Source organism: Homo sapiens, chromosome 2 (genome assembly GCF_000001405.40).
Source record: "Homo sapiens chromosome 2, GRCh38.p14 Primary Assembly".
Lineage (NCBI taxonomy): Eukaryota > Metazoa > Chordata > Mammalia > Primates > Hominidae > Homo > Homo sapiens.
This window is the reverse complement of record NC_000002.12, coordinates 73,997,017-74,020,842: the sequence shown is the minus strand read 5'-3', so window position 1 is coordinate 74,020,842 and position 23,826 is coordinate 73,997,017. Positions and strand designations below refer to the sequence as shown.

At 49.0% G+C, this 23,826-nt stretch overlaps 1 protein-coding gene across 16 annotated transcripts in view, besides 5 other annotated features; it reads right to left on the bottom strand.

Moving 5' to 3' along the window:
- TET3 (tet methylcytosine dioxygenase 3) overlaps positions 1-23,826 on the bottom strand; it is a 151,868-nt gene that overhangs the window by 114,656 nt on the left and 13,386 nt on the right. For 10 of the 16 annotated variants that reach the window (XM_011532683.3, XM_047443659.1, XM_017003566.2 and 7 more), the window contains one exon: positions 17,677-17,733. The exons of 3 other annotated variants lie outside the window; for them this stretch is intronic. In XM_011532683.3, coding sequence (XP_011530985.1) covers positions 17,677-17,733 — 57 coding nt within the window. Of the gene's footprint in view, positions 1-17,676; positions 17,734-18,041; positions 18,152-23,826 lie in introns of those variants that run through there. 3 more of the 16 variants (XM_011532687.3, NM_001366022.1, XM_047443664.1) reach the window with 1 other exon arrangement.
- Positions 11,143-12,101: an enhancer, noted in NCBI's record as "H3K27ac-H3K4me1 hESC enhancer chr2:74235869-74236827 (GRCh37/hg19 assembly coordinates)". NCBI's record gives its function as "activates a minimal SCP1, AML or CMV promoter by ChIP-STARR-seq in primed H9 embryonic stem cells {active_cell/tissue: H9 hESC(primed)}" and the evidence as "EXISTENCE:reporter gene assay evidence [ECO:0000049][PMID:30033119]".
- Positions 16,126-16,641: an enhancer, noted in NCBI's record as "H3K4me1 hESC enhancer chr2:74231329-74231844 (GRCh37/hg19 assembly coordinates)". NCBI's record gives its function as "activates a minimal SCP1, AML or CMV promoter by ChIP-STARR-seq in naive H9 embryonic stem cells {active_cell/tissue: H9 hESC(naive)}" and the evidence as "EXISTENCE:reporter gene assay evidence [ECO:0000049][PMID:30033119]".
- Positions 16,642-17,158: an enhancer, noted in NCBI's record as "H3K4me1 hESC enhancer chr2:74230812-74231328 (GRCh37/hg19 assembly coordinates)". NCBI's record gives its function as "activates a minimal SCP1, AML or CMV promoter by ChIP-STARR-seq in naive H9 embryonic stem cells {active_cell/tissue: H9 hESC(naive)}" and the evidence as "EXISTENCE:reporter gene assay evidence [ECO:0000049][PMID:30033119]".
- Positions 17,959-18,498: a silencer, noted in NCBI's record as "silent region_11650". NCBI's record gives its function as "represses an Ori minimal core promoter by ATAC-STARR-seq in GM12878 lymphoblastoid cells {active_cell/tissue: GM12878}" and the evidence as "EXISTENCE:reporter gene assay evidence [ECO:0000049][PMID:35858748]".
- Positions 21,572-21,671: a silencer, noted in NCBI's record as "silent region_11649". NCBI's record gives its function as "represses an Ori minimal core promoter by ATAC-STARR-seq in GM12878 lymphoblastoid cells {active_cell/tissue: GM12878}" and the evidence as "EXISTENCE:reporter gene assay evidence [ECO:0000049][PMID:35858748]".

Sequence of the window (23,826 nt, the reverse complement as noted above, 5' to 3'; positions counted from 1 at the left end):
CAACTGCTAGAGAGGGATTAGAAATCAGCTCACGTCCTCACTCCCACCTTCTTTTTATGCATGTTGAGAGGCAGAAATCCTGACCCCTGCTTAACAACAGCAGGGATTCCCTTCTCTCCAAGGGCATAGCCCTCAAGCCCTTGAACAAGAGGTGGGAGTTCCCTTGTTCCTGGGTCCCTCCAAGGCAGGTAGACATCACCATCCTTGCTCCAGGGGCAGCAGAGACCAGTGGGGGCAGGGACCTGAGAGTCTGGAACCACTGCCAAGGGTACAGAGTGAATTGGCATGCCCCAGACAGCTCCATCAAGGAATAGTGCCTGCCATTCCCCAATTACAAACAAAAGCTTACATATAAAATGCAAACACCAAGCCTGGGCACTGTGGCTCATGCCTGTAATCCCAACACTTTGGGCAGGCAGACCACTTATGCCCCAGAAATCAAGACCAGCCTGGGCAATATGGTGAAACCCCATCTCTAAAAAAATACAAAGAATAGCTGGGTGTGGTGGTATGCACCTGTAGTCCCAACTACTAGGGAGGCTGAGGTGGGAGGATCACTTGAACCCAGAGGCAGAGATTGCAGTAAGCTAAGATCATGCCACTGCATTCCAGGTTTGGTGACAGAGTGAGACTCTGTCTCAAGGGAAAAACAAATGCAAACGCTATGGTAAAGATTAGCACACGGATAGGAATAAACTTCACGTAGGACATACTGGGTTGGGGGGATGCATATACTCTGGAGGAGAATAGTAGAAGAAAAAAGAAAGGCACTACCATATGAGAGAAGGTGACTGGGCACATAGGTGTGAACCCATCTCACAATGTTCTGTACAAGCTCTGCTTCCAGCCTTGATGAGTCCTCATCCCCTAAGGGAAGCTGCAGATAAGTTTGTTTGTGCTACCTTGAAATGATTGGAAGCTAAGAAAGCAGTTCTCCCAACTAGTTAGCACTAATGAGGGCTAACAACAAGGGGGCTGTGGGTCTCAGGATAATAATGAGATAGAGGCTCAGAGGGCTCCTCCCTGATGTCTGCACGTGGAAAAATGGCCCAGGACCTCCTTTTTCCTGCGGGGACAAGGAGGGTGCCCAATCTGTTATCCAGATCACAGCCTGCAGGGCCTGGAGCCAGGGCTGCTTGAGATTCTGCTGCTCACATTGGCCCAGGCTGTCACACTTTGAAGAGGTGAAGCTCACTGTCCCTCTCATCAATCTGATGCCACGGCGTTTATTAAAAGGATTTACCGCATGCTAGGCTTTGTGCCAGGTACTGGTGACATGAAATGGAGTGAGATGAGCACCCCACCACTGGGAACTCACACTCAGGCACACAGTATTGCCACGGAGGTACAGACAATATACCATGAGGACTTGAGGGAGAAAGGGACAGAAGTGTCAGAAGAGGCAGCACAGAGCAGCTGCATTTCTAATATGCGGGCAAAGATGGGATACAAAGTATAACAGAAAAGATCCCATTCCCAACAGCAACAACAGCAGCTACAGCATATCTAGGAAGAAACTTCACAAGAAATGTGTAAGAAGAAAACCTTAAAACGTTTCATTTATTTTGTTTGTTTGGTTTTTATTAGAGACAGAGTCTCCTTCTGTCGCCCAGACTGGAGTGCAGTGGCCAGATCATAGCTCACCGCAGCCTCCAACTCCTGGGCTACAGCGATCCTCCCACATCTGCCTCCCAAGTAGCTGGGACTACAGGCATGCGCCACCACACCCAGCTAGTTTTTATTTTTTGTAGAGATGAGGGTTGGCGGGGGGTCTCACTATGTTACCCTGGCTGATCTCAAACTCCTGGCTTCAGGCAGTCTTCCCGCCTCAGCCTCCCAAAGCACTGGCATTATGGGGCATGAGCCACCACACCTGGCCTTAAAACTTTGATGAACACACAAAAAAGACTAGAATAAACGGAAAGGTCTACTTCCCTTTCTCTGGATAGGAAGATTCATTGTAAAGCTATCTATTCTCCCCAAAATAACCTGTACGTTTCATGTGATTCCAACTGAAAAATCCCAGTATTTTTCGCAGAACATGGTAAGTTGTTTATAAGCTTATTTGGAGAAAGAAATGCCAAAAAAAAAAAAAAAAGTAAGAAGTATGTTTTAAACCAAAGTATTATATAAAAATGGTGGTAATTAAAACAATGAAATACACAGAATCAGACAAATAAGTCAATGGAAGTAAAAAGAGGCCTTAAAACACCCATGACTGTAAGAGTACTTATGAAATGCTTAAGGTAGAATTCATACACTACAAGGGAAACTACAAATACCCAATAAATAGATTGGGGATAACAGGCTTTCTATTTAGGAAAAGTTCAATCCCTATCTTATATCGCATGCAAAAATAAATCTCACCTTAGAAATCTGAACATCTAAAATAAAACTTAAGTAAGAAAAGCCAAAATACTGATGAATTCTCGTTGTATAAAAATCAAATTTTTATGATAGACACAATGAAAGACAAACAGGCCAAAATTTTTTTCAAAACGTAACAGAAGTTAGTATCAAAACCCTCATAACGATGAAAGCTATACTATGTTTTCTCACTTAAGATGACAGAAGAAGGCCAGGCACGGTGGCTCACACCTGTAATCCCAGCACTCTGGGAGGCCAAGGCAGGCCGATCACTTGAGGGCGCGAGTTCGAAAACAGCCTGACAAACATGGAGAAGCCCCGTCTCTACTAAAAATACAAAATTAGTCGGGCACGGTGGCACATGCCTGTAATCCCAGCTACTCGGGAGGCTGAGGCAGGAGAATTGCTTGAATCCGGGAGGAGGAGGTTGCAGTGAGCCGAGATTGTGCTACTGCACTGCAGCCTGGGCGACAAGAGCAAAACTCCGTCTCAAAAAAAAAAAAAAAAAAAAAAAGAGACAGAAGAGGTTTCATCTTATCCCAGTTAAAAAGGCTGTTAAGAAAAAGACAAAAAATAAATGATGGTGAGGATGCGGAGAAAGGGGAACTCTTACAGACTGTTGGTGGGAATGTAAATTAGTACAGCCATTACGGAAAACAGCATGGAGGTTTCTCAAAAAAACTAAAACTAGAACTACCGTATGATCCAGCAATCTCACTTCTGGATATACGTCCAAAAGAATTGAAATAGGTGTGTCAAAGAGATGTCTGTACTCCCATGTTTACTGCGGCAGTATTGACAACATCCAAGATATGGAATCGACCGAAGTATCAGTCAATGGATAAAGAACACGTGGTACGTGCACATAATGGAATACTAGTTAGCAATTAAAAAAACAACAACAACAAAATACTGTCATTTGTGGCAACATGGATGAGCTTGGAGGATATGTTAAGTGAAATAAGCCAGGGACAGAAAGATAAATACCACATGTTCTCACTCAAATGTGGAAGCTAAAAAAAGTTGATCTCATAGAAACAGAGAGAAGAACAGTGGTTATCAGAGGCTGGGGAGGGCAGGGGTGCAGGGGAAATACCCAAAGGTTGGTTAACACATTAAACAGCACAGCCAGATAGAAGGACTAAGTTGCGGTGTTCTATAGCACCATAGGGCAACTATAATTCACAATTTATTGTTTGGTTGTATGTGTGTGGAGTGGAGTGCAGCGGTGTGAAAATAGCTCACTACAGCCTCAAACTCCTAAGCTCAAGCAATCCTCCCATGTCAGCCTCCCAAGTAGCTGGGACTACAGGCATACAATGTCGTGCGGGGCTAATTTTAAATTTTTTGCTATACAGAGAGGGGTCTCACTTTGTTGCATAGGCTGGTCTTGAACTTCCCACCTCAAGCAATTCTGCTGCCTCAGCTTCCCAAGTAGCTGAGATTATAGGAGTGTGCCACTGTGCTTGGTTTATTGTATATTTTCAAATAGCTAGAAGAGTAAATTTTGAATGTTTTCAACACACACACAAAATAATATTAATAAATGTTTGAGGTGATGGATATTCTCATTACCCTGATTTAATGATTATACATTATATACATGCATTGAAACATCATACTGTACCCCACAAATATTTATAATTATGTGTCAATTAAATAGTAAAAGCAAAAAAAAAAAAAAAAAGACAGGAGAACCTATACATTTTTATTGGGTTTGTGGGTTTTATTTTTTTGTTTGTTTGTTTGTTTTTGAGACAGAGTCTCACTCTGTTCTCCAGGCAGGAGTGCAGTGGCACCATCTTGGGTCACTGCAACCTCCGCTTCCCAGGCTCAAGCGATTCTCCTGCCTCAGCCTCCCAAATAGCTGGAACTACAGGCATGCACCACCACGCCTGGCTAATTTTTGTATTTTTAGTAGAGACAAAGTTTCACCATGTTGGCCAGGCTGGTCTGGAACTCCTGACCTCAAGTGATCCTCCTGCCTCAGCTTCCCAAAGTGCTAGTATTACAGGTGTAAGAGCCACTGTGCCTGGCCTACATTTTTGGATAATGTTTATCATAATGCATGTAAGAATCATGTCACTCTTTTTTCTTTATCCCTACCTAACAGCACAGTGCCTGGCATACATGAGTAAGTAACAGTCCATTGAATTTTTTTTTTTTTTTTAAAGAGACAGGGTCTTGCTCTGTAGCCCAGGCTGGAGTGCAGTGGCCTGATCGTAGCACACTATAGTGTCCAACTCCTGGGCTCAAGCAAGTTCATTTTTTGTACAGATGGGGTCTCACTATGTTGCCCCCACTGATCTAGAACTCTTGGCCTCAAGCAATTCTCCTGCCTTGGCCTGCCAAAGCACTGGGACTATAAGCATGAGCCACCACGCCCAGCCTGAATTTTTTTTTAAAGAAATTAATATTGATAATATATCTTAATATACTGATAATATATTAAGAACTTTTGTGGATCAATAAAAAGACAATCTAAGAGTAATATGGATGTAATAGGCAATGGACATAGGTAATACACAGAATAAATGCAAAATGGCTAACGTTTTAAAACATTCTCAATTTTACTAATAGAAGATATTAAAATGAGATATTTTACCTAGCCAAATGGCAAAAATTAAGGACTGATAATTCCTCACTCAGTGTTGGTGGGAAGGTAAATTTGATAGATATTATCAAATTACCTTTGGGGAGAGTAACTTGGTAATGTCAATTAAAATTTCATTTGTATGATTTTGTTCTATACAAACACTTAAGTAACCAAAAAAATCTATATACAAATATATTGATAACCTCAACATTTATAATTGCAAAAAAATTAGAACTGTAAATGTCCATCAATAAGAAGTTAAATTATAATACAGCCATAAAATGAAATATTCAATAGTCATGTAAAAGGCAAAGACAGATGTACTGACATGGAAAGGTGTCTTCAACCTATTTATGAGCGAATAAAAGACTACTCAAAAATAAGTAGGGTACAAACACATTACTGCAGGAAGGCAGTAAGTTCATGTACTCATTTTTAAGTCTGGAAAGATATATATAAATTGTTAATAGTGATTATACTGGGATGGAGAAGAAATAGGGATTCTCAGTTTCTAATTATGTACTTTTATATTGATTTATTTAAATGGGCGTACATTATTCTCATTTAAAATTCAAAACTTTCTGCATTTTGGAAAAAAACAATCCGCTACCATTGGTTTCTTGGTTGAACTCAAAAGTCCATCCTTTCTTCCTCTCCCTGCCTATCCCTTTCTCCTGACCATCACGGCTCTCTAAGGAGTTAGGATAAAGGGTAAGAATATCTTCCCCCAAGGCACTGCACCTTCTCCCTTGGGTGCGACCCTTGGGCCAAGTCATTCCTCTGATGGCTTGAACAGGTTCAGACTGGGACACAGAGGGCTGTCCCTACTGCACTAGGCGCTGCTGGACCCAGAGAGGGGAGACTGTGCCTTCACCACATGATCACTGTTACCCTATACTCTGCACTCTAAGGGAGAAATCCAGAAATGGGTTTTCAGTGGAGCCCAGGAGGTGGTGTCTAAGAGATGTCCACCACATTTTTCCTGGCACTGTGGGTCCCTCTCTTCTGTTCTCTCCATCCTGGGACACTCTTCATGGACTGAAGGATCCCAACTGGACCATATTTTCTAGAGGCTCATGAAAGATGCAGGGAGCAAGCCTTTAGCCTGCAGCCTAGACCAGCTCAGCAAGGCCATCAACTCTGGGTCAAAGTCTCAGTTTTTTTTCTCTCACTGCCCCAGCATATAGCTTCATTTCTTCTGGTGCTAATGTACGAGGCTTTTCTAAATACTACCAAAACTTCCATTTCGGCCTAGGATATGCTCTAATCCTAGGCAATAAATTCAAACTGATTTTGCTTAGGGTAAAAAAGAAAAAGAAAAAAAAATTCCACAGGTCCTGGTGGCTAAGCTGGTAAGCTATTACTAGGGTCCCTATTTGGGGGTTTAGAGACAGAGCCCAAGGGAGTCACCAAGTGCTGCACTGCCTAGCTGTGCCACCAAGCCATGCACAGGGACTCTCCTCAGGGCCCTTACTGGGAGGAAGGGTGGTCAGGCTAAATCGGGGCTCGGAATTCTCATGCTGGGTATATCATCGAAACCTCTCCAAGAACTCCAGACATAAAATATCAAAACCAAGAGAATTAGGCCACAGTGGAACTTGGTGAAAGTCATATTTTTAAATGTATTTGTTATCAAAGAAGAAAAAAATAGAAAAAATGTGCTAAGGATCCAACTGAGAATCCAGAAAAAAGGACATACCAAATAAACCTAAGGAAAAGATGACAATTTATATAAGACTACAGTAGAAATTAATACTTTAGAAAACAGCACAACTGACAGATCTGTGTGCTTTTAAATTACATAAAACTCCAGCAAAGCTATGGAAGAAAAAGAAAAAATATACAATGTTAGAAATGAAGAAAGTTAAAAAAAAACCACAGCTACTGAGGGAACTGAAAAGCAGTAGCTGTAGACATATTATGTTAATAAATTTGAAAAGGATCATTTCTATGGAAAATACAAAGTAAATATTTGATAACATTAGTTATGGGGAGTAGAGGGGAGATCAGAAAGCTGCAAAGACCCACCCCTCATAAAAGAATGGAATTATTATTACTATTTTTTTTTGAGATGGAGTCTCGCTCTGTCGCCCAGGCTGGAGGGCAGTGGTGCGATCTCGGCTCACTGCAAGCTCCGCCTCCTCAGTTCACACCATTCTCCTGCCTCAGCCTCCCAAGTAACTGGGAATACAAGCACCCGCCACCACGCCCGGCTAATTTTTTTTTGTATTTTCAGTAGAGACGGGGTTTCACTGTGTTAGCCAGGATGGTCTCGATCTCCTGACCTCGTGATCCACCCACCTCGGCCTCCCAAAGAGCTGGGATTACAGGCGTGAGAGCCACTGCGCCCAGCCCCAATAAAAAGAATCGAATTATTATTTAAGCAGTACTATTTAAATTATACCAAAGAATAAAGAAGAAAAGCCTTCACAGTCCATTATATGAAGTTACTATTATTCTAATACTAACATCTGACAACAAAAACACAAAAGGAAAATTATAGGTCAATCTGATTCATAAATATAGATGCAAAACTCCTATGTTAATAAATCAAATCAAACAGCATGTTAAAAAAATACCCCATCAGGCCAGGCGCGGTGGCTCATGCCTGTAATCCCAGCACTTTGGGAGGCCGAGGTGGGCGGATCATGAGGTCAGGAGATCGAGACCATCCTGGCCAACATGGTGAAACCCCATCTCTACTAAAAATACAAAAAACTAGCTGGGCATGATGGCATGTGCCTGTAATCCCAGCTACTCGGGAGGCTGAGATGGGAGAATCCCTTGAACCAGGGAGTCAGAGGTTGTAGTGAGCCGAGATCATGCCATTGCGCTCCAGCCTGGCAATAGAGCAAGACTCTGTCTCAAAAAAAAAAAAAAAACACCCCATTACCAAGTATAGTATATTCAAAGAATGCAAAGACAATTCAATAGGAGAAATATCATTTGATCTTCAAACCATGCTAAACAGACATGACAAAAGCAAACATCCACTACTAATTGGAAAAAAAAACTTCTTAATAAAATGTAATGAAACCATTTCTTCAACATGATATAGAAGAATTCAAACCAACAACCAGAAGACCTCAAACAATCAGCAATACCCACACTTAAGTGTAAAACACTAGAGTCATTCACATTAAAGTGGAAAGGAAAAAATACTAAGGAAAAGGATGTCCTCTACTCAATACATATTTGGTAAATGAGTTCAACATGCAAAGACGGTCCTAGGAGGGAGGCAGCAGTCTACAGACACAAGCATCAGCTCTAATGTCAGATATCCTTGGCTTGGATTCCAGCTTCATCCCTTGTGAAACATCAACCTCTGGTCAAGCTCCTGGACTGAATCTCAGTTTCCTTTCTGAAAGGTGGGGCTGCTACCACCTGCCTCGGAGCTGTCCTGAAAACTAAGAGAGAACTATGAAAACTTTACCCCTGTGTGCCTGCCCCACACATGGTAAATGCTCAATAAATGACTGCTAGTTATTACACAGAGGAAAGTGTGCTACAATGCAGCATGACTCCATTTCTACAAACGACACTAAACAGATATGAAATATGCATAGAATAAAGTCTGCAGGGATACTCCGGTTAACAATGACTAATGGGGCCTGAGGAGGTGGCTCATGCCATCCCAAAGTGTAATTGTAACACTTTGGGAGGCCAAGGAGGGGTGGGATCCCTTGAGCTCAGGAGTTTGAGACCAGCCTGGGCAACATGGTAAAACCCTGTCTCTACAAAAAATACAAAAATTAGCTGGGCCTGGTGGCATGCGCCTGTAGTCCTAGCTACTCAGGAGGCTGAGGCAGGAGGATGGCTTGAGCCTGGGAAGTGGAGGCTGCAGTGAGCCGAGATCGAGCCACCGCACTCCAACCTGGGCGGCAGGGCCAGACCCTGTCTCACAAAAAACAAAAAACAAACAAACAAAAAAATGACTAACTGGACTGTGAAATTATGGACAAATTCCTCTCTTTTGCTCCCTTTCTTTTTTTTTTTTCCTTTTGGTAGAGATGAGGGTCTCGCTATGTTGCCTAGGCTGATCTCAAACTCCTGACCTCAAGTGATCCTCCCACTTTGGCCTCCCAAAGTGCTGGGATTATGGCATGAGCCACCACACCCAGCCCTATTTCTATTTTCTAATTTTTCCAAAGAATATGTATTACTTACAAAATCAAAAAACAGAATACAAGGCAAAAAAAAGGATATGGATTTTTGGATTCACCGAAGATAGGGGACTGGGACACCTAAGGCCCAGGTAGAAAAGAAACTAAAGGTGATAAGGGAGAGAGTGACACCGGGGAGGAGCTGGAAGGGTGCCCCTACCCTGTGCCCTATCACAGGGGGAACCCACTCAGTTTCAGGAGCACCCACATAGGTGTGAAAAGTATTTAAAGGTATTCCAGTGGAGGCCAAGCTGAAGCCCTCTAGGCCCAAAGCCAGCACGTACTACTGTACTATGGCCTGGCCTGACCTTTGTCCAAATGCCGTAGAAATTCTAGGCAATGGGAACGGGGTGAAGGTACTTATTTCTTGATCCAGGTGCTGATTACACAGGCATTTACTCTGAAAATTCACCAAACTGTACACAGCATATGCCTTTCCGTGTGTATACTATACTTCAATTTTTAAAGTGTTTTTTTTTTTTTTTTTTTGAAACGGAGTCTCTCTCTGTCGCCCAGGCTGGAGTGCAGTGGCACGATCTTGGCCCACTGCAACCTCTGCCTCCCGGGTTCAAGCGATTCTCCTGCCTCAGTCTCCTTAGTAGCTGGGATTATGGGCACCCACCACCGCACCCAGATAATTTTTAGTAGAGACGGGGTTTCTCCATGTTGGCCAGGCTGGTTTTCAACTCCTGACCTCATGATCTGGCCACCTCAGCCTCCCAAAGTGCTGGGATTACACGCATGAGCCACTGCACCCAGCCTTAAAAGTTTTTAAAAATTAAAAACTGAGGAGAAAATTCAGTTTCTATCATTTGCTATAGTTTCCCGCTTAAGTTCTGGTTTTAATAACTATGAACTCATGGAACAGTCTCATGGAACAGAACACTGAATCCAGTGTTTGGTCTGACATGTCTGTCTTCACTTTTGCAAACTCTGTATTGATCAATAAAATTATCAGTGAATGAGAAAAAATTTCTGGGGCAACCCAGGGACATGGGAGAGGCAGGGAGACCCAAACTGGATATGGCAGCTGCTTTCAACTCTGACTGCACATTCAAATTACCTGGGGAGCTTTGAAAAATGCTGGGGCCCAGGTTCCACTGGAGACCAATAACAGCAGACTCTCAGGGGCTGGGGCCAGGCATTGACAGTTTCTTTTCTGAAATCTACTCAGATGATTCCAATAAGCAGTTGGTGCTGAGAACCACCAAACTCGTTGAACCAGAGGGACCAGTCCCTGGAAACACTCTTGGCAAGTTGAAGCATGGTCCTGCCTGTGCCGGTGGTGGCTGTGGGGGTGGGAGCATTTAGGTGAGGTGAGCTTAGGGATGAAGTGCTCTGGCACCCACCCAGGTCCTCCTCCACATCCGGCTTCCCCCAGACCTCGGGCAAAGACCCAGCGGGGAGCAACACCCCCCACATGGAGGCGGCAGCATCTGGAAGGTGACGGGGAGGAGCTTCCCAGGCTTCCCGGGTTGGACACGGAGCCCCGGTTTCTGGCTCCTAGCCAGGGTGTTTAGACTGCTTTGGCCCACTTGCCAGTACAGCCCTAAGACACACGCCGCTCCAACCACACAACCCCAGAGCTCAGCCCTAACTACTACCCAGGGTCCAAATGACGCCTCTGGGAACCCACAGCTGGAAAACAGGAAACCAAGGAGAAATAACAGTGGGAGGAAAGGCCACAGGGCAGAGGTCCCCATACAGCTCAACCATCAGGTAGCACCTGGCTCAGGGACAAGTGGCAGGGCTAGTGAAGAGGGAGATGCCACACAGCCCACCTGCCCAGAGCTTCCAGCCCTCATACCTGAGGCCCCTATGCCACCCTTGTCTTGAGCCCATTCTACCTAACTGTGCAGCAGGAGCCCATGGGTTTGATTCTAGTAGACAGCTGTCCTGGCTGGGCAGCCCCCTGGCATCTTACACATTCCCTGGATGATTGACATAGAGCCCTGGGCCCATGCTTCACAAAGCATGTCCTTAGAGGCCCTCTCTGCTCAGTCTAGGTCTTAAAGCTGAGATCAAAGCACAAGGGGCAGGACTAGGGATGGACTGAAGCCATGAAGAGTGTCCTAGGATGGAGAGGACAGAGCAGAGAGATCCACAGTGCTAGGAAAAATATGGTGGACATCTCTTGGACACCACCTCCAGGGCTCCCCTGAAAACCCATTTCTGTATTCCTCCCCTAGAACTAGGGTGTAAGGCAATAATGATCCATGTGGTGAAGGCACAGTTTCCTCTCTCTGGGTCCAGCAGGGCCTGATGCAGTAGGGACAGCCCTCTGTACCCCAGCCTGAGCCTATTCAAGCCATCAGAGGAATGACTTGGCCAAAGGGTCACACTCAAGGGAGAACATGAAGTAGAGAAAGTTGGTCTATGGATCCAGGCAGGGTTCTCAGCTCAGAATCCCTTTCCAGGGCCTCTCTCTGCCTCCTACAGGAGTTACCAGCCTCCCTTGGCTCTTCCCCATCTGCAGAGTGGCCAGCAGGGTCAGAGATGGCACCTCCCCGAGGTACAGGAAGGTGGACTGGCAGGAAACGGCTCCTTCTGTAAATTCCATCTGCTTAGCAGGGCTAGGAACCAAGGCCTGCAGGCTAGAAAAACAGACTCCTGGGGACAAGGATTTTGAGAGAGACGGTGGATGCTGCAGAGGAGGCAAAGGAGGAACACTCAGTCGGCAGGGCTCACAGCTCAGGAGCTCAGTGTCAGGGACAAGTTGCAAACCCTTTCAATGCCTTTGTTTCCTTTGCAAAGCCCATGAGGTTAGGATTACACGGGGGAAAAATGCCTGGAGGCGGGGTTGAGAAATCCAATTACTTAAGCACCAAGGGCGTAAAAGTTCCAGGCCTCGGAGGTAACCAGGATTTCTTTAGACCCTAATCTTCCTATCCTTGGAATGTTTGCCTCTTAAGGAATATTTCTGTGGCAAGATACTGTTACCTCCCCCCACCCCTCCCTTCCTACTCTCCTCTAGCTAAGGCAGCCAGAATAGAAGAAAGTTAGTCATTTTTACTTTTTGTCTAATCTTTAGCATCTCAAAAAAGGCCGTAGATCCTCAGCAACAGAAAGTAGGGGGAAGATGGTCAAGCTCATACTGTCAGAAATATTAAGATGTCTTTGTTTATAGAAATCAGGGTAGAATCTGCAATCAACCCCCAGGGGAAAAAGGGTATACCTCTAGGTTATTAACAAACACTGCATGGAATAAGCTCAAAATTCAAGGTGCCCTGCCTGTGGCAATGGAGCTTTAGTCTCTTGCAGGGTCCAAGTCCACACCAGCATCTACAGGAGACTTGGCTTCCTCCCCAACTGTTCTCTTCCTCCAAGGCATGCAATTCACACACACACAGTACAGGGGCTCCAAGGGCTCTGACGGGCCTCCATCAGACTCCCAGACTTGCAGAAGTGAAAGAGAAGGCAGGAGGCATCCTTATCTACAGAAGCTGAGATGCAAGTAAATCTTTTGGGGCACTCAGAGAACTTATGGGACAAAAAGATCTCTACTCTTTCAAGCGGAGGCTTTGTCCCCAAGATGGAGGGTATAGAAGAGTGGAAAAGTCATGTCCAGAAGGGGTGGGGAGGCATCAAAACAGAGACCCTATGCTGTCCCAGATAAAAGTTCAAAAGCAGTGCTATTCAGGATATGGCCCGTAAACTGCTTAACACCAATCCACCACAACATAAATACAGGAACCAAGAGGAAGCCTTTAGGAACCTTTATAGCAATTTAAAGCTACCATGACATCCAAGGGCATGATCACTTGGCTCGCCTCACTGAATGGCTCACAGACCACTTTGGATGGTGCTGAGCCACACGTGCAGCAGCTGCAAACTCGCTGTACAAAGTAAGTGGGACCACGTTTTAGTTTTGCAATCTTTTGGGAACACTGAAAAACAAAAAACAAACAAACAAAAAAACTGGTCCTTCCCCAGATTTAGTCTGAGAAAAACTTAACTTTGGAAGGCAATCCCCTCACTTTACCCAGAAAGCTGAAGTCCAAAGACAGTAAGTGACCTCCCCATGGCTAATGACAGAACCCAGGAGTAGGAGTAGAGTAGAAAACAGAGTGGAAGGAAACTAACAACTGCACTTCTCACCCTCCTCCTCTCAGTCAGTGGGTCTCACTGAAGCCCCCTGAAGCAGTAAGGGCTGCGGGGCCCACACTCTAAATGAGTCTAAGGCAATTTCAGGTTCATGGTAGATTGCTCAGGCACAGTATTTCCATCCAGCTTTCAGAATCTCAAATCCGAAACATCTAATGCCAACATGTGCCTTTCAAAACTAAGCTCCCTTCCCAGCTAGCCCATTTCTGACCCCACTGCCCTCCTCTGTCATTGCTAGATCCGGGAAACAATGACTTAATTGAAAACAAACTTGGCATGTTGAGTCAACCTTCGAAGTCCCTTGAGGTTCTCTGAGCCAGAGAGAAAGCAAATGTAAAGTGCTGGGTGCATCTGGGGTGAGGATTCTGTCTGCCATGTGCAAGTTCACAGCCCCAAACACAACGCTGAAGTCAAAAGCATTCAATATACAAAACACAAAAGCTTCCAGTGCTGGCTTTCCCACTCAAGAGTTATAATTTCAGGTAATAGTTTAGTCAATGTCTCTTACTTCCAATGGTTTTGTGAGAATCAAATAATAATGATTTCTCTTATTTTTCAGGACCTAATGCTGTACCTAGAACATGATAAATACTTGGTGGATGTTGAAAGACAAAGGGAAGAAGAAAGGGGGAGAAAATAGATAGAGATGGGGGTAATAGTCCTAGAGAATACACTAATCTACAGATTTTAATCCTCCAAGTTTTCCCTGCCTTCTATTTGCCTAAAGGCTTCCTAATGTATCTCCTTCTCTGAAGCTGTAGAGACGCTGAGAACAAGGGGGAGTCCTCAGCTAACTGCCAGATGCCCGGGTGTGAGAGGAAATGAGGCCGAAAGCCCAAGAGGTCAAGGGTAGGAAAGAGGACTTAAGAGGATTGTGAGACCCAAAAGCTGAGCCAAACCGTAGCCCCTCCCATACTCCCTGCCCCCACCCCCATCCAGCCAAACCATTTGCTGCAGCCTCCGGGGTATGGGAGGGGACTTGGCAAGACCACAAAGCCCATTTCTAGCAGAAACCTCCATCTGCAGCTGGAGGGAGCCCAGTGCCCAGGCCCCTCCTCACCAGGCCCAGCAAAAGGGCTGTAGTCGTCCCCACGGTGGTCCCTGAGGGCAGGTCCAGGGCCCCTGCACCACTGTGGACAGGAGGGCTCTCCCTTCAGCTCACTCATGTGTATGTCTTGCAAGGCTCTCTCCCTCTCCCATGACATTCAAAAAGGGTGAGGGTCACCAAGGAGATGGAGCTGAGCTCTGGGACTCTAACTCCAGTTCTTATCATGGATGGGGAAAGCCCCCTCTTTCTCTCCATCCTCAAACTCAACTCTGAAAATCTCTTGCTTAGTTCCTTCACTTCTCTAGTTTGACATGCTCACCTGCTTCCATATCTTCCCAAGCTGGCTGCTGCTTATAAACATACCCGAGAGAGAAGTGGCTGGAAGTAGGAAGAGCAGGCAAGAAACAAGTAGTGGGAAGGACCCAGAGTGTATAGAAAGTCGAGGATCACAGGTCCTTGAGAACAGGGCATTTTTTTTTTGCAGTGGTCAAAAGGAGAGACAGAAGGCAGAGATCCTGGGCACAATCCCAAAATAGTTTCCAGACATCCTCAGCCAGTCAAGGGTTCCCATGGGGCAGAGTGTGGGAGCCGTGTGGGAGCCTTGAAAGCAGGGCGGCCCGGTGTTCTCGGCACTGGGCACTCACTCCTCTCCAGGCTGCCAACGAGGAGGTGGTAGCAACAGTGTCTGCTATAGCATGTTCCTTGAGATATCACGGGTAGACATGTAATGCACCAAACAATAAAATGTCAACTTGCGTTTATCAAGCTCAACTCTGTGCCTATGCTAGGCACTATGTGGACTCATACGTACATCATAGGTATTCCTGAAACCCTGGCAGGACTTAGCACATCGTATATGTGTCTATTCCCACTGGCTACCAGATACCATTCTCCCATGGGGCTTCCTCAGCCAGCACCCATCTCGTGACACCCCCGTGTCCCGTGTCCCAGGGTCTTGGTCTGATCTCACACCAGACCAAGATGAGCTCACACATCAGACATATCCTTCTTACACCACGACCTGAAAATGGAAGGGCCTCTGGCAAAACTGCCTCACCCTGGGTATGTGGGACACTGCAGCCAACTGGCCACCCAAGGAAACTCTATGTGTGAAGGTGGCACCAGGGACAGAAGACTCAGACCTGAGTGTTTGCTGGCAGTGCCTGAGCTGCATATGATTCTCAGACAACTGAACAATAAAAACAAGCATAGATACAACCTCAGAGTTTTAAAAACTCAGCCAGCTCAGGCCCTACTCTGAGAAGGCGGAAGGAGAAAGACTTGTTAGGAAGGCTTCCTCTGGATTTTCAAGTAGCCCCTGCCACATGTCCACAACACTAAGGCTGGGGCATTAGGCTGGGAGCTTCCAGCAGGACTGCGGAAAACCAGCCTCTATCTGGGGCCAGCAGGCAGGGAGACACGGAGAACACACTTGGAAAGAGCTGAAGAGAAGCGGGTCTGCCAGGGAGAGCCATCACTACAGCGGAAGGGGGTGCTTTCGGGAGTAAACAAACCTGCCAGCCCGTCCTTTCTCCCAGCAGAGAGGGAAGCTCTAGGCTGACAAGGCTGGAGATACAGAGGAGAGAGGGGCCTGCCCCCTCCCTGAGTCCATCTGTCCTCATCCCGTTGGCCTGCTTTCCCCAGGCTGGGAGACAGAGCAGATCTACTCTACGATCTCTGTGCCCACACCCCTCCAACAGCACATGAGGTGATTACAACTCCTCCAGCCAGCAGCGGGAGGCGAGGGGAGGAAGCAGAGGTGGAACCTGGGGGTTCTGCTCCAGAGAAGGCTGTAGAAAAGAGTGTGTAGTGAGAGCCAACTTGAGGTGAGCTCAGCTCTCTCCTCCCCACCCACAGTATCGCCCGTATCAACTGCCCTCTGTCACCTCCCAGCCTCCCACCGCCTCATCCCAGGTGATCATCCACTACTCCCAGTCTCACTAAAGCACACCCGCTAGACGGGGAAGCCGATGCCCCCTGGCTCTTCTCCTTCCCAGAAGCTGCTCCAGAAGCAAAATTCACACCCTTCCCCAAGCACTTACTTGCCTCAAGTTCCTTGGGACAAAGCCAGGGAACTATCTAGGCCTCCTGATACACCCTGCAGCCTCACCTAGAAGTCCCTATCCCCCACGTGGGAAGCAGAGCCCCTCCCTACCAGCATCCATATCCAGTCAGTAAGGTGGCAGGATGCCACTTCCAGCACCTCCATGGAGCTTCCCACAGCTTTCCCAGGGGGCGGGAAGAGAATTTCCAGGGAGGAAACTAAGGGTATCTGGGGACACTTGCAGCTCACCCACCTGCTACCCAAGCAACCAAGATCCCCAGCTCCCTGAAGACTCCAGCGGCTGAGGGGGCAGGTGGGCTGAGGCAGGGGCAGGAACGCGCTTCCTCTCCGCTAGGAAGAGTTCCATGAGCCCTGACCCTGCCCACCTGCCCCATGCTCCCTTCCAGCCTCTCTGCTCTTGGACTTCAGAGGCAGCCACACAGAGCCACCTCCCAATCTGTTTTCTCCGCCCTGGGCCAGCAGAGGATACTGCTGAGTAATCCCAAACTCACAGTGGCTCCTTAGCCCTGAAAAGGGGGACAAGCTCAAGGAAACCTACTGATCGGGTCCATGCCAACGTGGGAGGAATATCTGTGGTTTCCTAGTAATGGCTGATACTCTACTGGACTCTCCCCTCCCCTGTCTCAAACACCCCAGCTCCCCGCCCCCCAGACAACCACAAGGAGAAGCTCAGTGCCCCCTTCTCTGCTTCCCACGCACCTGGGAACACTCTCTTCCCAGTCCCCTAGACACCAAGTCACACAGAGTAACAGCAGACGCCCGCCGGATTCCCAGTCATGATGTTGCATCAGCCCCCACCCTACCCAAAATATCCTCACCCCCACCACCTCCTCTCCTCTCCAGCCATCTCCATGGTGACAGCAGCATGACTAATGACATCCTATCAGCTTCAGACTCAGGAGCGCAATTCTCCCTCCCTCTTACGCCCCCCCACCCCCCCTCCCCGCACACCGTCCCCCCCGGGATTTCTGCAGATTGGATGCAAACCAACAGTGCCAGGGACATTCTCGAGAGATTTCCAGAGGCAGGGGTGGGGAGTGGGTTGCATGTCTTAAAAAGAAAAAAAAAAAAAAAACAGTTCAACAAACCAAGCCCCAACTGCACCCAAAACCATCCAGCTGAGAAAGCAAAAAGAATCCAAACAAAACCCACACAGGCCTGAGAATTCATTGGCCGCCCACACCCCCGCCGCCCCTCCCCCTCAGCTGCTGCTACACACACAGTGGGAGATTAAGGGATCACCAGAGGAGACCCTTTATTTTTATCCAATCCGGTCAAACACTTCACCGCCACCACACACACGCACACACACGCACGCACACACACAAGGTACCTTGACAGCCGCTCCTTGTCCCCACGGCCCGGCTCCTTCACCAGCCTTTATTTCCACCTGCAAAAGAAGCCAGAGGAACGTGTGAGCCAGGCGGGTACCAGGAAGGCAGCAAAGTCCTCCTGCTACAGCCCCCAGCCCGGCCGGAGGGGAAGAAGGCGAACGGGAGGGGATACAGCCTGGGAAAGAAAGGCTATCTGGGACCATCTTCCTGCCTCCAGCTGCCGCCTGGATCACGGCAGACAGGCTCCCCCGCCTTCCAGTGTGTTTTTGTTTTCATTTCTCCTCTGAGAATCCCCCCGAGATCCGAGAGGACGGCGACCCCCGGCCCGCGTCCGCCCGGCCATCCCCGGCCCCGCGCGCTCTACCTCGGCCGGCCTCCTCTGGTGCATCGGCCGGCGGGCCTCCCATTATCCCCGCCGGAGGGAGCGCACGGAGGGAGGCACTGCAGAGGAGGCGGCGGCCAGCTGCCGGCTGCGCTCCCCTCCCCGCCGCGGGGCTGGTGTGCGAGGGGGCGGCGCGCTCGCCAGCCAATCCCCGCGGCCGGCCCTGCCCCCGCCTGGTGGACCTGCCCAGCCGGGAGGCGGGGGCGCAGCCGAGGGTGCTGCTGAGCCGCGCTGGCTGCTTCCCAGGCCCGCCGTGCCGCTCCCCGGCAGGCTGGGGCATCCCAGGGCACCCCCGGCCTCCTCCCGCGGGGACCCCGAAGGTAATACCCAGAAGGCGTCCTCTGCGCCTCCAGGATCAAAGATGACAGACTGCGCCTCCGGGTGGAGCGGAGCGGAGCAGACGCCGGGGGGGTGGGGGGGGATTCCCGCTTCGCCACTCTCTAACCCCAGCATCATCCTGGCAGCAGCTGGGACGGCACCGGGCCCTGTCACAAGGGCATGAGGTGCAATAGCCCCTTCATCCTCAAAAAAGAAGAAAAAGCCCAGGCAGCACGAACCTTTACTCCATTCTGCAAATGAGGTGATAAAATAAGTGAAACAACTTACCCAAGGTGATGCGGCTAGGAAACAGCAGAGCCGGGACTCTGAGCCAGGTCTGTCGGCTCTGAAGACCATACTCTTAACAGCTATGCAAGCTCTCTGCTCCTCCCTGCTCCAGCGCCCACCTCAGAAAACAGGCTCCTCGGAGCCCACACCTCCTGTGTCAACCCTGCCCTCCTCCACACACACAAACACCCACACCTCACTCTAGGATCACCCCCCAGCCCCGCCAGAACATACCCATCCAAGACAGCCTCCCCACCAACACCCCACAATGGGTTCTCCACTCTTAGGCTACAGGAGGTAACCCCCAAGACCCCAAGGGTCCCCAGACCTCAGGGCTTCCCATCTCCTGGAAAGGCAGAGGAGGGGAGGTAGCCCAGACCCCAAGAGCTCCGGTCTTCCAGTTTCCAGACTCAGCCTTTGAAAGCTGCATCAGAAGACTGAAAGGAGGGCAGGATGAGAAAGAACAGAGAGGGGAGAGGCAGACCCTGCAATCCACTCCTAGATTTACTTCCTGGGCCACCCAGGGCACATCGTTCCCTACCCCAATCCCTCCCTGTAGCTGAGCACCCCAGAGCTTCTACCTCCCAGGAAGCGACTTCCACACACTTTGGTACCCACAAACTCCAGGCTCCATCACTACCTAGCTGGTTGTAACTTACCTCTCGTAGCCTCTCTTTGCTCATCTTATAAAACTGAACTACAAATAGCAGCTACCTCATCCAGTTGTGAGGATTCACTGCAGGTGAATCAATTTCTGGAAGAGCTCACTGGGTGCTCCTTCTCATTCTCACAGATGAATAAGCTGAGGCCAGGGAGAAGTGACTCACAGGATTAATTAGGATGTTTGAGAGCCCCTGACCCAGTGATTCGCTCTCCTACCCACTACACCACAGATGCCTAATTGCTGTCCCCTCCCCGGGGGCCCAAAGGGGGTACTCAGAACAGGATGAGCGGCCTTTGGAAAGACAGCAAAGCTGGCCTCCAGTGAGGAGACTCCAGGAGGCATCAGGGCCCATACCTGCCTCCCCCTGGGAACACAGGGCAGGGAGGGAGGCAGGTGGCAAAGCATGACAAGGAACAGTGTCCTAAGCACAGCTCAGGTGGAACAATGGGTTTCTGTGCCCCTCAACTTTGACAATGACCAGGCCAAGTGGAGTCCCTCCTTTATCCTGGTCCCCAAAACCCCTGCCCTCACACCTACCCCCCATACAGTCTGCTGCTGGATAGGAGAGACAAACAATGCTTGGAAAGGAACAACTAGTACGGTTGCTGCAGCGGCTGCCACAGTTTATCAAACCCCTGCTACATGCCAGGCCCTGTGCCAACCATGTTGTAGGATCATCTCATTTGACTTACTCCCCATACAAGCTCATCTCTAACAGGGCAACGGAAGGACTTCGCGATGTTAACTTACTTGCCTGTCAACACAGCTGGTGAGTGGTGGGCTAGAATTCAAATCTAGGTCCTTCTCTTTCCAATTCTCTAAGTTCTGTCTGTCTCTGCCAACCCCAGGGAGATACAAAGAAGACCGAGGTCACTTGAACCCAATCACTTCCCTTTAAGCTATGGATCTAGTAATGTTTTCATGCCTCAGAGACTTCCCGGTGCTGCTCCTTCTGCCTGGATCCCTCCGCACCTCCCCCGACCTGGCAAGCTAATGTGGTACAAGACTTAGTTTAAACATTGCCTCCCCCTGCCAGTTTCTCAGATCACCAAGCTCCCATGAGCATCATCTGCTCCTCCCGGGTCCTGACAGAGCAGTGTACTGCCTCTTCCACAGCACCAGTCACAATAAAGTGCAGTTATTTATTTACACGGCAGTCCTCCCACGTGGGCGGGGGCCCTGTCTTCCCTACTTTCCTAGGCTCTGCACAGAGCTGGAATGTGCTGAGCCAAGTTTCTACACAAGGAGGGTGGAGAGGCAGGGGGCTGGGCACTGAGAAGTGGAGGCCCCTCTTCTGGTCAGCCTTCTCCCTGAGGTCCTCAAGGATCTGAGAGACACCCGCTGTCCTGGGAGGGCAGGACCTGCCAGAACTGAACTGTGATCTACTCCCAGACTTGCTCAACCAGCACCTATCTTCCTCAGCAGCCTGAAGGAGCCACAGAGCAAAGTTCCCATCCCAACTCCTGGCTCCACTCATCTCCCGGTGGTAATTCAGCCCTACCCCAAACACAGGTCCCCACCCTGCCTTCCAGCAGCCCTCGGCTACACCAGAGAAGTAGCCCAGAGGAGGAGCCCATAGTCCCCCAGGCAGTCCATCTGCTCCCATCCCCATCTCACCCTGGCCTCATTCCCTCTTCTGAGACTCGTGGAATGCCGGGGCTCAAGGGAGTCACAGAGGTGCATGCCAGGGCCACTCTGCCTCCAGCCGGTATGCTCTCCGCTCCCCTCTTGATCCTCCTCCCATCTCTATCTGCCCCCTTTTCTAAATTTTGCACTTCACAGCGATCACTCACAGGTACTTGGAACCCCTCTGCATAGGGGCCAAGGGTCCCTCCCCTCCCCATCTTCTATCACAACCCCCAGACCCTACTGTGCTCCCAGCAGGAGGAATGGAGCCACAGCCCTCCCCACTGGAGAGGTGAATGGATTTACTCGCTTTCAGGACACACAAAATGCCCTAACACTGAGAACCTCAGGAACATGGATACCCACAGGTCAGATTCCACACAGATATTCAAAGACGAAGGAACACAGACACAACCAGACACATTCTTGGGGGAATTTACAAGAAATCAAGCAAGCACCAACCCCATGTCAGGCCCCATAGAGCATGATATACTGTATCTTTTTTAACTCTCTAAACAAACCAATGAGACAGGAAATATTTGTGCCCATTTTACAGACGAAGAATTGGGATACAGACAGGCTAAGTATCTTGCCCAAGGTCACACAGCCAGAAAATGAATGCACAGGGTTCTTGCCACCCCCTCACTTGCAGCAGCACAGCCAAGGCTGCTCTGTGTTGCTCTACGATTTTCATATCCACCTACCTCTTCTAGAGCTGGTAGAGGGTAGAGGGAGACAGGCTTCTCATCCTCCCTCACCATGGCTGTGTCCTGAATGAGGTCACTCTTCACAGGGCTTTACTTCAAAGCTCTGTTTAAGCCCTGCTTCCTCCAGGAAGCCTTCTCTGATTATACCAGTCTTCTGCCAACCAACGGCGCTTCTAACATTTCTCATCTGACCCCTGGTACTGTTGTCTGTCTCTCTGTGTGTCCTGCATTCCCAACCAGAATGACTGGAGTTGTGCCTCTCCAAAGCCCCTGCAGGGCTATGCCTACGTTCCACACACTGAAGGCACTTGGAATTGACTATGAGGGAAGTCTGTGACCTCCTTTTCTCTTCATCACACAAAGGATCCTGCCAAAAAAAAACCCAACACCCCCTCCACCTTCAGAGCCTATGTTTGAAGTCCCCGGTGTCCACGCATCAATTTCCACCCAAGTAATTGCCGCCCATCACACACACATCATCCCCTATATTTGAAACTCTTTACGGTTGTCATGGGAACTGCCTTTGCCTTCATTCACTGATCAGGCCTCACAATTAGCTTTGGCAGCGGAAGTCTGTGTCAACGACAATCACAGGGAGGAGGAGGCTGAGGAGGTGGAGCAGCAGCAGCAGCAACAGAAGAAGAAAAGATGCTTCTCTCCTTGGAGATGCGGCAGAACCAGACTGAACCAAGGCACCCAGCAACACTGGAGGGAAACAAGTCGGAGCCAGCCAACAACTCCATCTTCGTGCTTCCTACCAGCAAACAGCATGCATCCAGGGCCTCCCAGGCTGATAGGTGACACTCTGCCTATACCCTACATGCCCTTTGAGATGCTCGTGAAAAGGTCTTATAGTCTGTGAACCTTGTCAGGGTCTCCTCGCCCCAAATTCAACAGCCTTGAACCATCAAATGTTCCAAGGACCTAAGCAAATAACAACGGACTGTATGATGCTGTTGAGAAGGTGGGGCACGAATGCTGAGCTAGAAACCCGGGGACAGCCCCAGCAGAAGACTTCCAAGAGGAATTAACACAAAGCGTCTGACCTTCCACCTCTAGGATTCTCACGCGGTACCCAGCAATCTGTCCTCATCCTTCCACACCCCTGCCGCCAGCATCAAGTAGCATCTCTACACACTGCAAGATCAGGGAGGTGCTTCCCCCTCCTGGAAGTCCTTCTCCTCCTCATCCTTCACATGTCACTACACTCTCAAGACATGTTCCTTCCCTTCCTGGCTGGCCTCTATGGGCCCAAAGGTGACTAAGGCCAGTCTCTGCCCTCAAGGCATCCCTCCCTTTTAGCCCTATCAGAATGTACTGTAGTTATTTGTTTCCATGCTTGTCTCCCTCCCCAGACAGCAAGATCATTAAGGACACACAGAGTTAATGTGCCTACCTTTACCCACCGCTCAGACTCAGTATGGCACCCAGCAAAGAGCTAGTCCCAGGCGAGGTTTGCTGAATGGGGCCAGGAGGGCCACCTGCCTGTCTATAGGTCAAAGCAGATGATGTCCTGCCTCGGGAAACTGAAGCAGCACCAGAGAGAGGGGCTGGCTGCCTCCAGTACAAGGGACCTTGTAGATCCTGGGACCCAGGATACACCAGGAAGGTGTCTCTCTCTCCTTGTCCTCCTGGCACCAGCTCTTCTCCCACTGGCCCTCACAACCCCCTCTCCCCTCACTGCACCTCACCCCATCCTGCAGCATGAACATAGTACAGGCAGGACCCAGCCCTCACAGTAAGAGTCTGCCGTCCCTCTCTCTTCTAGGGCTTCAGGATCATTCCCAGCATCATTAAGGGAACTGGGGCACACAGAGCTTACCTTAAACGGCAGATCAATCAATAAAAAATAAGACAGGAAAGAGCCACCCATGTCCTCCCCAGAAGAAAAACTCAGCAGTGGAGCAGACTCTAGTCTAATATTTTGTTACTTCTTTTTGACCCAGCATCTCCGTACTCATTTCCTGAGACTTCCCCCACCCAGCAGTAATTAGGAGGGGCAGGAGGCATGGGGGACCCACAGTCTGGCCAATACCACCAAATAATTCCATCCAATGCAACTTCCCATCCATTCTGAGAATCTGGAATTGCTGCTCTAGCAGCAGTCAGAGATGCCTTATTTTGTCCACTAACACCCTCGTTAGGTGTGGTAGAGGTAGGACAC